Consider the following 15,876-nt stretch of genomic DNA (forward strand, 5'->3'; position numbering starts at 1 on the left):
TTTTGAGACAGTGTCTTGCTCTGTTGCTAAGGCTGGAGTGCAGTGGCGAGATCTTGGCTCACTGCAACCTCTAACTCCCAGTATCAAGCGAACCTCCCACCTCAGCCTCCTCAGTAGCTGGGACTACAGTTGCACACCACCATGCACAGCTAATTTTTTTATTTTTGTAGAGAAGGAGTTTTGCATGTTGCCTAGGCTGCTCTTGAACTGTTGGGCTCAAGCAATTTGCCTGCCTTGGCCTCCCAAAGTGCTTGGTTACAGGTGTAAACTACTGTGCCTGGTCACCTACTATTTTTTTTCCAAAATAGTTAGAATCCTGTTTGTTCCAAATTTGTTAGAATCCAAACAGAATGATAGGGTTTGCTTTTATCTGTTCTCAATGTTTTTATCAAAACAAACAAAATCTCCCCTTCCTTGAATATTCATTATTATTATTATAACTTAGGTGGGGATACAAAAACTATGAGCACATTAAAAAATTCATTAAACTTAGTAAGAAAGGATCTTCCTGAAACTGCAATTGGGCAATAAATCCGAAAAGAAAACTTCTCTAGAATAGTAAAATCACTTTTTTAAGAGGAAAGGCTGTAAAAAGTATATTTTCTTTTTTGCTTTTCCACCTTAGACCCATCAAAGATAGTGGAACCATTTAAGAACAGGCTTAATTTAAATCCTTTGCTTAAAAGGCCAGCCCTGTTTCATCCACAGTAGTTATTGGTATATTAATCCAAATTAATTATTCTAAAGTAATTATATGCTCTATAAAAAGGCAGTTACAGACTAGTTCAAATTTCATCCTCTCCATGAATCTTTCTTTGAATATTCCAAACCACTGTAATTTTCCTCTTCATTCATTAACAATTCAGTCATATATTCTCTTATCACCATAACCTTATAGTTACAGTATTACAGGAAATGCTACAAATACATTTGGAAAAAACACTATCTTTTGAAACTGAAGCTAGTAAAAATCAATATAAATTTCATTCACTTTTCTATGCAATGAAAGCACATCATCCCAAGACCTGTTTCAGAGAGGTGTTGGTGATGAAATTAAAATATTTTTCTAAGTCTTCACCAAAGAGATAAAGGTAAATTGTCTAACTGGTATCCTCTGGAAGATATAACTGGATAAGAAGATATAATAAAAGCTATGATCTAGTCAAATGCATGGTTGTTGGTCGAGAGAGAGGAAATGAATGAATGAATCAGTGCGGATGACAGTGATTTGTAAACTATTATTAGCCACAATAGCCTATGAGAGAGATTCACTTCCCATTTCGTTTTTCAGATAGTAACAAGAATTTCCTGGATAGTGGATTTTGATGCCTGAGAAATGTATATGTCCAGTTACTAATTAAGAAACTATCATTCTCAATGAGAAATCATTATCACCCTTTGGTTTTTCAAAACCAAAGTCCATTTTTTGGGGAGGACATCTTGTATTTATTAATTTTTCACATACAATAGCATAAGATGGAAATCCCTACATAGTATGAGGTATACAACATGATGTTTTTAACGAGGCTTTGCTCATATATACATTGTGAAATAGATTACCACAATCAAGTTAATTAAATATCTATTATCTTTGTGTGTGTATGTGTGTGTGTTCTAAAGCAGGGGGGCCCCAACCAGTGGGCCACGGACTGGTACTGGTCCACGGCCTGTTAGGAATTGGGCCGCACAGCAGGAGGTGAGTGGCGGGCAAGCGAGCATTATCATCTGAGCCAAACTCTTGTCAGATCAGCAGTGGCATTAGATTCTCACAGGAGTGTGAACCCTATTGTCAACTGTGCATGTGAGGGATCTAGGTTGTGCACCCCTCACAATGCCTGATGATCTGAGGTGGAATAGTTTTATCCCAAAACCTCCTCCTATCCCTACGCCATGGACGAACTGTCTTTCGCCATACTGGTCCCTGGTGCCTAAAAGGTTGGGGACCACTGGTCTAAAGTTCATTTTAAGTGAACTGATAAAAACCATTTAAAATCCCTCCAACTGAAGACAAATCCCTGGACCTTTAATGGTTCCAAAAAATTTCCAAGGTAAGAAAGCCTATGAGACCTAGTCTAAGAAAAAACCTAGTATGTGTCTTTGTAATGACTGCTCATAAATCAGTATCTTATGTCATTATTTTTCATTTGTATTTTCAGCTAGATGATAAGCTGTGAGCAAAGTATTGTATCCACAACAGTTCTAGTGGTTTTAGGCATTTAATCATTTCTTATTAAGTATTAGCCAAGTGAATAATTAAACAAAAACTTATATTTCACCTTCACCTGTTATTTATAAGAAATCATTTACGCTAATGAGATCTCTGGCAACATTCTTCTTACCCACCAGTTCTCTATTATCCATTCACTGAACCATTGAAGATATTTACCTTTGAGTTTCTCCCACATGAGCGCATACAACCCCAAAGAGCTTGGATGCAGAACTAATAACTGATAGTGCTGGAGGTAAGGGCTTAGGCACTGAATCTCCCTCTACATCTTTCTCATAAATCGAATAAGGGTCATATTCAAGACTTCCGCAAGCAACACCATTACCAAGCAGGAGCTAAAAGGGAAAAAAAGTATATAAGGTTTTAAAATCACTGATCACAGATTGAATCTAATCAAGAGTAAAAAATGGCCATACCTGTTCTTCAATAAATCTATGGTCAGTCTCTTGTAGGAAAGGACTTAGTATCAAAAGATCATCCTGATGACAGAGGGGTGGAAGTAAAAATGTAGATGCTGCCACCTGAATATCAGGGGCAGTCAAGTCAGCAGCCAGCTCTCTGAGGATAGCACAGAGGTTTCCTGTTGAGTCACAGAAAAAGAGCAATTAGTACTATTAATTATCTGGTGAGAGTATGGGATTTAAAACTCAGGTTGAGCTTTAATGCACCCACTGGCCAACTTTAACATATCACAGCCAAAAGACTGTATTTCTCATCCTTGAAAACTGCCCTAGAAATGACTGGCTCAACTACGTGTTGCTAGTAACAAGGTTAAGAATGGATACTAAAAGAACATCTCAAAGTGTAAGAGTGTGTGTGTGTGTGTGTGTGTGTGTGTGTGTGTGTGTACATACCTTAAGGTATAACATGACATAAAATATAAAAATAGATGTAAAAAAAGATTTACAAAAGCAGATATGTTTTTTAAAAAAGCACAGTCTGAAAAAATGTATAAGAATTAGCCTGAGGCCGGGTGTGGTGGCTCACACCTGTAATCCCAGCACTTTGGGAGGCGAAGGTGGGTGGATCACTTGAGGTCAGGAGTTCAAGACCAGCTTGGCCAACATGGTGAAACCCCATCTTTAGTAAAAACACAAAAATTAGCCGGGCGTGGTGGCAGGTGCCTGTAACCCCAGCTACTCAGAGACTGAGGCAGGAAAATCGCTTGAATCTGGGAGGCAGAGGTTGCAATGAGCCAAGATCAGCCACTGCACTCCAGCCTGGGCAACAGAATGAGTCTCCATCTCAAGACAAAAAAAAAAAAAAAAAAAAAAAAGAATTATCCTGAGAAAACTTAGACATGTTATTATGGAAAATTTCAAACATAAATAAATAATAGTACTATGATGATGCCTGCCCCTATCCCTTCCAGCATATGCTCATTATTCATCTTTACCAGCTGCAACAGTATTATTTCACCTACATCCCCATTCCTGATCCCACATTTCTCCACATTATTTTTAAGAAAACCCTAGGCAGCACATCATTTCATCCATAAATATTTCACCGTGTATCATTAAAGTGAAATACATTTTATTTTGAACATAATCCTGCTATCATAATCTCATGTTGTAAAAAAAAAAAAAGCCACTGAACATCAGGTACCCATTCAGTATTCAAATTTCCAACTATCTCATAAACACCTGTTTTTGTTTGCTTCCGTGTTTGAATCTAGATCTAAGTAAGGTGTACACATTGCAGCTAGTTTATCTTGTCTCTTTCAATTTAGTATTCTCCCTATACCTTTCCCCTCACTGGTAATTTATTTGAAGAAACAAGGTTATTTGTTTTGTACAATTTTCTACAGTCTGGGTTTTTATGATTATAGGCCCCTGGTATAGCTTAATTTGTTCTTCTATCTGTACTTTTTAAAAAAAATAAATTGGTAGTTGTATCTAGACGGGGCTCATTTTTGCTTTTGGTGATGGGCAGGGTGGGGTGCAGGTTAGTTCATAAGTGGTATTGTGTTCTCCAATAACACAGGAGACAACATATGGTTGCCTCTCTAACATATACACTTTGAAAAGCTGATCCATTTATCACATTAACTGCAATGATCACCTCAAAGATGTTTTATCCTAATTTCTGTTAGGTTATCAAAAAATCTTATCCACAGAGAGCTTAAATGGCTTTTGCCAGTTTGTAACTTAAATACTGCAGGAATGAGTAAAAATTCCCTTAGAAAAATGTTTATACTCTTCGAAGTGTTTCTTTGAGCAATTGCACCAGGATGAAATGAGGACTGAGGTGATATCCACTGATCAGAAGTGGTAGGATGAGTTAGGAAGGGTTTACTTGCCATCACTTTCTGTATCATTAGCAGCAGTAACAGTAGTAACAACAAATATTTATTGAAGCTTACTTTTTTTTTTTTAAGAGATGAGGTCTCACAATATTGTCCAGGCTAATCTCTAAATCCAAGCCTCAAGTGATCCTCCTGTCTCAGCCTCCTGAATAGCTGAGATTACACACGGTGCTTGGCTTACTGAATACTTAATACGTGTTGGGAAATGTCCTAAAAACTTTACATATAACCTTCATAGTAACCTAATAAGGTCAGGTTAGTATGTTGTTTTACAGGTAAGGAAACAGGAACAGGGAATTTATTACTTGCCAGAGATCATATGATGATCACATAGCTGTCAGACTGAAACCCAGTTAATCAGGCTCCAGAATTTGAGCTTTTAACCACCGTGCTGAATCACTCATTCATCCAAATTGTGTTTAATATGCTACAGAGAAAAATTTTATTATATTTAATCTTCCTTTCAAGAAGGTATACACTATGGGATACCAATATATACATATAATAGGAAGGTAGGAACTATTATGTTTCATAAAAGATAAAAACAAAAGCACTATTAAATTTAGGGAAGGAGAGATTACATACAGGAATTAGGAAGAATGGACAGGGATCAGTGAAGTCATAATGACTGAGCAAATGACAGTTGCTCAAAGGAATGTCTAAGTTTAATTACCAGCATATGACACTCAGCAAAATAATTCTGTTGGTAGTACAATATAAAAGGTATGCTTGTTCCTATGGCTATGTGTGAAAATAGTAGAAAATCTCTGCTTCTCAGTTGAAAGTGATTACTTTCCCAACTGTCCCTGGAAAAAGTACCTAAAAATAATTAAGATAATTTTGAAATGCAAATAGGCTTTTGTATAAAAATGCATCACTAACTTGCTGGTGAGTTATTTTCAATGTAGAGAATATTAAGATATTTGAAAATAAATCCATACCAAAACTAAGACAGGAAATAAAAACTAAGAACTCAATTTTTACTCCAATCCTTCGGAAAACTAAGTCACTCTAAGACTCTAAATCTACATCTGCTGGATAGTCATGAAGAAAAGTTATTTCAATTCTTAAGTACATTCCACATGGCAAAAGCAATTTCTTACTATGTCCTAGAAACTGACTCTTTGACAACACATTGGAGGAACCAATAAAATCAGAAATTTATTTATTTATTTATTTATTTATTTATTTATTTATTTAGAGATGGAATCTCACTCTGCCACCCAGGCTGCAGTGCAGTGGCACGATCTCGGCTCACTGCAACCTTTGCCTCCCAGGTTCAAACGATTCTCCTGCCTCAGCCTCCTAAGTAGCTGGGACTACAGGCATGTGCCACCATGCCCAGCTAATTATTTTGTGTATTTTTAGTAGAGATGGGATTTCACCATGTTGGCCAGGCTGGTCTCGAATTCCTGACCTCAAATGATCCATTTGTCTTAGCCTCCCAATGTGCTGGGATTATAGATGTGAGCCAATGTACCTGGCCTAGAGTTTGTTTCTTCCAGAAGTTCATAGTAAGTCCTGACTTTGTCTCCTAATGAACACTGTGGAACTGATTTGAAATATATCCTTTAGGACTCCTGATTGCATTTCCAAACTCCAATTCTGAGAAAATCCAAGTTAAAAAAAAAAAAGTAGAAGACTTCAAGACTTTTTCCTCTAATTCAAGTTTTTTTAAGGGTAAGACTTACATTATCAGGCCAGGCCCAGTGGCTCATGACTGTAATCCCAACACTTTGAGAGGCTGAGGTGGGAGGATCACTGAAGCCCAGAAATTTGAGAACAACCTGGGCAGCACAGCAAGACCTCATCTCTACAAATGACAAAAAAAAAAAAAAAAAAAAAAAAACTAGCTGGGAGTGGTGGTGTACACCTGCAGTCCCAGCTACTTGGGAGGCTGAGGTGGGATGACTTGAGCCTGGGAGGTCGAGGCTGCAGTGAGCCATGATCACACAACTGCACTCCAGCCTGGTTGACAGAGTGAGGCCCCATCTCAAAAAAAAAAACAAAAAAAAGACTTCCATTATTTATCAGAAGATACACTGTAGATTTTAAGTCGAGATTCTTGTATTCCTAAATGTTTATTGAAGAGTTGAGCAGCAGTCCTTTTAGCTGGGCACAGTGGCTTATGCCTGCAATCCTAGAACTTTAGGAGGCCAAGGAGGGTGAATCACCTGAGGTCAGGAGTTCACACCTGTAATCCCAGCGCTTTGGGAGGCTGAGGAGGATGGATCATATGAGGTAAGGAGTTTGAGACCAGCCTGGCCAACATGGTGAAACCCCATCTCTATTAAAAATACAAAAAAATTAGCCAGGCATGGTAGCGCATGCCTGTAGTTCCAGCTACTCCGGAGGCTGAGGCAGGAGAATCGTTTGAACACAGGAGGCAGAGGTTTCAGTGAGCCGAGATCATGCCACTGCACTCCAGCCTGGGGGACAGAGCAAGACTCTGTCTCCAAAAAAAAAAAAAAAGTTTATTTTAGTCTGAAAATAAATTTCAAGATACTATTGTAAAAATCTGAAGGAAATTGCTTTTGTCACAACGCAACAGTTATCTGAGCTGTGGAATACAGAAATTATCTCTCAGCTTTTTACTAGATATCTAGCAAGTAACTTTTAAATTGATAGATGGCAAAGAATAAGACATATCACTAAGCTATGATTGTTAAGTCTCTAAATAGGTTACTTAGAAAAGGCAGCAGCACAGCATGAGGCAAACTTATGTTTCAATCCTGATTCCACTCTTTATCTGGTATGTGTTCTTGAGTTGGTTTTGTAACCTAAACCTTTATCTGTCAAATAAGAAAAATGTAACTAGCTCACTGTATCATCCCAGGATAAATGAGATATAATAGATACAATTTCTAACACAGTGCCTGGCCTTAAGAAGGAGGTTTTTTAAAAAAAAGTATTTTAGGCTGGGCTCAATAGCCCACACCTATAATCCCAGCACTTTGGGAGGCCAAGGCAGGAGAATTGCTTGAGCCCAGGAATTCGAGACCAGCTTGGGCAACATGGCGAAACCCTGTCTCTAACGAAAATACAAAAAACTAGCTGAGCGTGGTGGTGTGCCTGTAGTTCCAGCTACCCAGGAGGCTGAGGTTGGAGGGTCATTTGAGCCCAAGGCTGAAGTGAGCCATGATTGCATAACACTGCATACCAGCCTGGGTAAGAGAGTGAGACCCTGTCTCAAAAAAAATTAAAACAAAAACAAAACCCCGAATGTTTTTTTTACTATAAGATGGTGAACACATGGATTAGGACTGAACTCCCTAAACCTCCTAGAAACAAGGCACTAAATAACTGCCATTATAATTCATTTAAATATTTAATGAGTGACAATAACTATTGTTCCAGAAACCATACTAGCCACAAACAAAAAAACATTTTGGTCTAAGGCACATACCTTCATAGGTCTCAGGAGGTAATAAAATCAACAGTTCATAAAGTCTTTGTCTATAAACCACTGACGGTGTTTTCAAAGGACTTCCATACATTTTTAGTATTGAAGAAAGCCTTAAAATAAAAGAAAAAGTGTATCTTAAGTGGTTAAGTTATATAACAATATACAAAAATTGACAGCTTAATATCTTAACATATAAATTAGCTATGTATTTTATTAACAAACATTAGTGCTGCTTTACTTTTATTTTTTGAGACAGGGTCCAGCTCTGTAGCCCAGACCGGGATGCAGTGGCATGATCTTGGCTCACGGCAACCTCTGTCTTGTGGGCTCAAACGATTCTCCCACCTCAGATTCCTAAGTAGCTGGGAACTACAGGGTTGCACTACCATGCCTGGCTAATTTTATTTTGTATTTTTGGTACAGATGGGTTTCGTCATGTTGCCCAGGCTGGTTTCAAACTCATGGGCTCAAGCAATCCTCTCGCCTCAGCCTCCCAAAGTGCTGGGATTACAGGCCCAAGCCACCACACCTGGCCACAAAATATGATCTTTCTTCACACTCTCTCCTTTCATTTTCATGTACTCTTCTTTATCTTCTGTTCACCTTTCCTACTGGTGTTAAGACATCACTTTACCAATGCTCATTCATTTAACAAACATTTGCTAAAGGACTACTACTGTTTTTGGTTTGTTTGTTTTGTTTTGAGATGGAGTCTCACTCTGTTACCCAGGTTGGAGTGGTAGTGGTATGATCTCGGCTCACTGCAACCTCCGCCTCCCGAGTTTAAGCAATTCTTCTGCCTTAGCCTCCCCAATAGCTGGGACTACAGGTGCGCACCACCATGCCCGGCTAATTTTTGTATTATTGGTAGAGACGGGGTTTTACCATATTGGCCAGGGTGGTCTTGGACTCCTGACCTCGTGATCCACCCACCTCAGCCTCCCAAAGTGCTGGGATTACAGGTGTGAGCCACTGCACCCGGCCAGGACTACTACTTTTAACAAGGTATATTATCAACTAGAGTATGGTTTTCATCCTTAGCAATACAGAAGTTTAATGAAATTACTTTTATTATGTCACTAGAATAAATCTGCTAAACTGTTATGGCATGAGGTTTCCTGGTTCTCTAAGAAATTCTGGCAATGTTGAGTCATTTGTACTTTCTTTTTTGTTTTGTTATTTTGCTTTCCGAGATGGAGTCTTGCTCTATTGCCCAGGCTGGAGTGCAGTGACGCGATCTTGGCTCACTGCAACCTCCGCCTCCTGGGTTCAAGTCATTTTCCTGCCTCAGCCTACTGACTAGCTGGGACTACAGGCACGTGCCACCACGCCTGGCTAATTTTTTGTATTTTTAGTAGAGATGGGGTTTCACCATGTTAGCCAGGATGGTCTCGATCTCCTGACCTCGTGATGCACCCACCTCGGCCTCCCAAAGTGCTGGGATACAGGCATGAGCCACCATGCCCAGCGTGTACTTTTTTTGTTGTTGTTGTCGAGACAGGGTCTTGCTCTGTCGCCCAGGCTGGATTGTAGTGGCGTGATCTCAGCTCACTGCAGCCTCAATCTCCTGGGCTCAAGTGATCCTCTCACCTTAGCCTCCCAAGCAGCTGGGACCACAGGTGTGGGCCATCATGTCTGGCTAATTTTTGTATTTTTTGTAGAGATGGGGTTTCACCATGTTGCCCAGGCTGGTCTGAAACTCCTGAGCTCAAGTAATCCACCCATCTCGGCCTCCTCAAGTGTGGGGATTACAGGCATGAGCCACCATGCCTGGCCAACTGTACTTTCTAGAAAACTAATGCTTGCTATTTCTAGTCTCTAGAAGAAAGGAGAGTTATCTATTGACTTATCACTGAATATTTTAAAATGTTGTTTCCATTTAGTATCTTTCAGCTTGGTAAATACTACTTAGCAAACATAATTGTAACACCTGGGTAAGGCCAGGCATGGTGGCTCACACCTGTAATTCCAGCACTTTGGGAGGCTGAGGCCAGATGATCGCTTGAGCCCACGAGTTTGAGGATATGGTGAGCTATGACTGCGCCACTGCACTCAATCCCGGGCGACAGACTGAAATAGTGTCTCAAAACAAAAACAAAAACCTCTGTTTCAGTAGAATTTTTTAGTTACCAAATTTAAGAATAAATCTACTGCACTTTTATATTTCTCTAAGGCCAGATTAGAAATAAATAGCTAACACACAAAAAGTCTTTCAATCATATTCACAAGATGTTAGGAAATTATATTTCTAAAAATCCTGCAACGTTCACTTATTTTAACTATAATAAAATTTAGTTCAGAGAAGTGTATGTACATTTTTTAAAAAAAGATGAATAAAACAAAGTAAGAATTTAGAAAAGCATTTTTATTGGTTTCTGCGTTCATTAGGAGGGCAGATTATAGTCCCTGCAGGGCCTTCCTGCTACTTACTTAGGTAAGTATAAATTAAGTATAAATAAATCTTTTATCAGGATAAAAGATAATTTGCATTGTTAGACTTACAGAAAGAGACTTTTCTGAGGCCAACCAGCCCCTATGCCAATAAAAGCAAGCAAACATACATTTAAAAAAATGAAACAAGACATAAGCTGAAACTAGAGTAGGAACATAAATATCAATACCAACACAAGGATCTGAGACTAGGCTTGCACCCATGGTAGGGGTGTAAAACCCATTCATTTTAAGAAACTTTCACCAAACCAAACTAGGAATAGGAGGTTACTCTCTTAATCTGATAGAGTATCTACTAAAAAAGCTGGAGCAAACACCATCCTATCAGTAAAACATGAAAAGCATTCCCTTTAACCCTATTTAGTTTCAAATGGCAGTTATCTAATAAAGTTAGCACATAAGGAAGAGAGAAACAATATTGTAAAAGGAAAAATCCAGATGAATCTACAAATAAATGTTTCATAGGACAAAATTCAGTAAGGTGGTCAGATACAAAATCAAATACATTTTTATACGGCAGCAATAAACAGACTATATACACTATATACCCATTTATTTAATAATCACAACAAAAATACAAAGAACCTCGGAGTAAATTTTTTAAAAAGACTTATAAGACCTTTATTTAGAAAACAATTTAAACTTTGTAAAATACCTCAATAATAGTAAAGAGGTATCATGTTCAGAGGTATTATAAAACTATGAATTATCTTCAAATTTATCCACAGATTCAATGCAATCTCAAATAAAATTTATCTTATTTATTTATTTATTTTTTGAGATGGAGTCTCACTCTGTTACCCAGGCTGGAGTGCAGTGGCGTGATCTTGACTCACTATGACCTCTGTCTCCTCGTTTCAGACTATTCTCCTGCCTCCACCTCCTGAGTAGCTGGGATTACAGCCATGTGCCACCACTATGCCCAGCTAATTTTTTTTTTTTTTTTTTTTTTTTTTTTTAGTACAGACGGGGTCTCACCATGTTGGCCAGGCTGGTCTTGAACTTCTGACCTCAAATGATCTACCCACCTCAGCCTCCCAAAATGATAGGATTATAGCATGAGCCACTGTGCCCAGCCCCAAATAAAATTTCAATAGAAGATCAAAAGTGCATGAAGGGCCAAAATATGTCTAAAGAGGAGTAACGTCAAAAGGCTTAATCTAACATACAAAATTTATTATAAAGATAACGTGTTGGCATATAAATAAACACACCAATAGAGAGCACAGGCATAGATCATGCATAAATGAGAATATAATACATGACAGAAGTGAATGGCAATCATTGAAGGAAGTATGGATTTTTTTAGTAACGTATGGGACAGTTTGTTATCCATATTTAAAAACAAAACGAAACTGAATCCTGCTATGGGGTCTGAATGTGTCCTCCAAAATTCATGTATTAGAAACTTAATCCCCAATGCAGTACTGCTGGGAGGTAGGGCCTTTTGGTAGGTGTTCAGGTCGTGAAGGCAAAGCCCTCACAAATGGATTAATGTCATTATAAAAGGGCTTCACGGAGGGAGTTTGGCCCTTTTTTTTTGCCCTTCTATCCCTTTGCCAGATGAAGAAGGCACAGAGTTCCTCCCCTCTAGAGAATGTAGCAACAAGGTGCCATCTTGGAGGTAAACAGCAGGCTCTCATCAGACACCCAATCTGCTGGTGTCTTGATCTTAGACTCCTGCCTCCAGAACTGTTAGAAATAAGTGCCCGTTTTTTAATAAATTATCCAGCCTCAGGTATTTTGTGATAGCAGCATAGCAGCACAAATGGACTAAGACAGATCCCTAGCTCACTCCAAATAGAAAAATCGGTTCCAGATGACTTAAATATGAAAGATAAACCTTCAAACACTTCAGAGAGAAATATAAGAAAATATAACTTTGCAGTAAGGAAGACTTCTTTTTTTTTGGAACTGGGGTCTCACTCTGTCATCCAGGCTGGAGAGCAGTGGCGCAATCAAGACTATAGCCTTGAATTGAGGTGCTCAAGCAATCATTCCCGCCTCAGCCTCCTGTGTAGCTAGGACTACTAGTGAGCATCAGTACATCTGACTCTATTTATTTATTTATTTATTTATTTATTTATTTATTTATTTATTTTGGTAGAGATGAGACCTCACTATGTTGCTCAGGCTGGTCTCAAATCCCTGACCTCAAGCAATCCTCTCACCTCAGCCTCCCAAAGCACTAGGATTACAGGCATGAGCCACTGCCCCAGCCAGGAAGAATTTTTAAACAAAAAGAAAAAAAGTACTAACCAAAGAGTAAAAGATTAATACATTTGACATTTAAATAATAAATGTTTATTAATAAAAAACTAGAAGACATTTTTAATATTTTAATGAACAGCTAAAGAATAGTCTCAGAAATATGTAGGCCAGGCATGGTGACTCACAAGATAATCTAAGCACTTTGGGAGGCTGAGGCAGGAACATCGCTTGAGCCTGGAAATTTGAGACCAGTCTAGGCAACATAGTGAGGCCCTGTGTCTACAAAAAAGTAAAAAATTAGCTGGGTGTGGTGGTGCACACCTATAGTTCCAGTTACTTGGGAGGCTTACGTGGGAGGATCACTTAAGCCTGGGAGGATCACTTAAGCCTGGGAGCCTGGGGCTGCAGTGAACCATGTTCACGCCACTGCACTCCAGCCTAGGTGACAGAGTGAGACCCTGTCTCACAAACAAGAAAAAAGGCTGAGCGTGATGGCTCATGCTTGTAATCCCAGCACTTTGGGAGGCTGAGGCCGGCAGATCACTTGAGGCCTGAAGTTCAAAACCAGCCTGGCCAACATGGCAAAATCCTGTCTCTATGAAAAACACAAAAATTAGCCAGGCATAGTGGTGCATGCCTATAATCCCTTACTGGGGAGACCGAAGCAGGAGAATAATTTGAAACCAGGAGGTGGAGATTGCAGTGAGTGGAGATCACACAAATGCACTCCAGCCTGGGCAACAGAGCAAAACTGTCTCAAAAAAAAAAAAAAAAAAAAAAAAAAAACCCAAAAATGGCCTGACGCAGTGGCTCATGCCTGTAATCCCAGCAATTTGGGAGGCCGAGGTGGGTTTATCACCTGAGGTCAGGAGTTTGAGACCAGCCTGGTCAACATGGTGAAACTCCATCTCTATTAAAAACACAAAAATTAGCTGGGTATGGTGGTGCATGCCTGTAATCCCAGCTACTCAGGAAGCTGAGGCAGAAGAATCTCTTGAACGGGGACCCGGGAGACGGAGGTTGCTGTGACCGGAGATCGCGCCACTGCACTCCAGCCTGGGTGACAGTGTAAGACTCTATCTCAAAAAAAAAAAAAGGCCAGGCATGGTGGCTCATGCCTATAATCCTAGCACTTTGGGAGGCCGAGACAGGCGGATAACGGTCAGGAGATCGAGACCATCCTGGCTAACACGGTGAAACCCCATCTCTATTAAAAATACAAAAAATTAGCCAGGCATGGTGGTGGGCGCTTGTAGTCCCAGCTACTCGGGAGGCTGAGGCAGGAGAATGGTGTGAACCCGGGAGGCGGAGGTTGCAGTGAGCCGAGATTGTACCACTGCACTCCAGCCTGGGTGACAGAGCGAGACTACGTCTCAAAAAAAAAAAAGGAAGAATTTCTTATAAATCAATAACAAAAAGACAACCTAAAAGAAAAATAGGTTAAAGATATGAATGAATAGGCATTTTATAGCATGGGGAAGGGAAATATTGAGAAAAAACAAACATATAAAATTATACTTAAACCGTCAGGAAACCGATATACAATTAAAACCATAATGAGATACCATTTTTTACCTATTGGATGGGGTAGAATTGATAACTGAGTAAGTGTTGGTGAAAAAGTGGGTCAAAGGATACTTACACTATTGGTAGAAATACAGAAGAACACTGAAAAATAATTTGGTTTATTTTCTGAAGTTGAACATAAAAATACGTTTTAGCATAGCAATTTCACTACTAGGTACATACCCTAGAGACTTAAACAGCTTGAGTACAAATGGTCACATTATTACCATAAGCTTTAAAAGCAGAAAATTGGAAACAACCCAGAAGTCCATTGACAAGAGAATCAATATGTTGTTGTATATTCACACAATTAAATATTATACAGCAACGAAAATGAATGAACTTAAAACATAGGTAAAACTTAGAAACATAATGTTGAATAACAAAAGCAAGCCCCAGAAACAGGACAGTAATTTTTGCCTGATCAAAACCAAACAAACCTAAACAATGTACTATTTTAAGAAACAAAAATATGTGATACACTTTTTTAAAAGGCAAGGAAATGACAACTATAAAATTCAGATTAGTGGTTGCTTCTAAAGGAAGGCACAAAGAATGGTGCTGGAGAGGGGCACACAGACACCTTCAATAGTATCATTAATGCTCTAGTCCAGTGGTAGCCAAATTATGACCCACTGCCTGTTTTTGTAAATAAAGTTATATTGGAACACAGCCACATTCATTCATTCATTCATTCATTCACCTATTATCCGTGACTGCTTTTGAGCTACGATGAGAGAGTTGAGTAGCTGCAACATAGACTTCATAGTCTGTATATCCTAAAGTATTTACTATCTGGTCCTTCAGAAGAAACAGTCACAAACCTTTGCTCAGGCTGTGTTGGATTCACAAGTGCACATTTTATTATTATACCTTATAAGCCATATCTTAAATGTATTTTCTGTATATATAAAGTGTTAATCATTAGATGCTGTTTTCAAAGAACTTTCACATGTTTTATTAATTTGGAAATTACAAGTGCTCACATTATATACTGGCTTTTCTCTATATGTTCTAATCATATACGTATAACTCAAACTTATGAAAAATATAAACAAACAAAAAACTGAAACTGTTAGAAGCATCTGGTTCTCACGAACACAGAATACTCTAACAAACCAATAAAATGCATAGCTGAAAAGGTTAAGAGGCTTAATAGTTAATTTCTTGTTAAATCTGCCTGTATGTAAGGTAGATTATTCCCCTAAAATTTTCCTTCCCTTTTAATATGTAATTTCTTTCAAGATCCTAGCCTAAAAAAAAATCATATAACTAACTGATTGCCTTCCTCCATAAAATCATTCACCAACTACAGAAATTTGCCTTATTAATGTACTTAAGGAATATTACATAATCAGAGGGCAACTATCAAATCTAAACAGTCGATGCTTACTGAGTTAGCAAATCCACAGCACAAGGAAGTGGTGGAAGAAGACGCTGAGTTACTTCCTCAGTAAGAAGATCACCACAGTGGGAAACAAAGCTCTTGATAGCTGAAAAGGAAAACAGACTTTTACTTGGGCATACTGTAATCAACCATGAAAGGCACATTTGATTATGGTACAACATTAGCATTGTTATTAGAGTAATAAAGCAATTTGCTAAAATAAAAAAATTCTTGAAACTCTAGTATAAAAAGGTATATAGTGCTTTCTACTCCTAATCATACTTAAAAAAACAACAACAACTCTCTAGGAGTACTAAGACGGA

The 15,876-nt window shown here is 38.6% G+C and overlaps 1 protein-coding gene across 1 annotated transcript in view; it reads right to left on the reverse strand.

The window, feature by feature from the left end:
• Positions 1–15,876, reverse strand: part of HEATR5A (HEAT repeat containing 5A) — a 128,763-nt gene that overhangs the window by 64,463 nt on the left and 48,424 nt on the right. The window contains exons 13-16 of the mRNA NM_015473.4: positions 15,560–15,659; positions 7,939–8,048; positions 2,644–2,807; positions 2,387–2,562 (exon numbers count right to left, since the gene is read on the reverse strand). Of these exons, the coding sequence (NP_056288.2) occupies positions 2,387–2,562; positions 2,644–2,807; positions 7,939–8,048; positions 15,560–15,659 (550 nt within the window). The remainder of the gene's footprint in view (positions 1–2,386; positions 2,563–2,643; positions 2,808–7,938; positions 8,049–15,559; positions 15,660–15,876) is intronic.

The sequence above is a fragment of the Homo sapiens genome, chromosome 14 (assembly GCF_000001405.40).
Source record: "Homo sapiens chromosome 14, GRCh38.p14 Primary Assembly".
Taxonomy (NCBI): domain Eukaryota; kingdom Metazoa; phylum Chordata; class Mammalia; order Primates; family Hominidae; genus Homo; species Homo sapiens.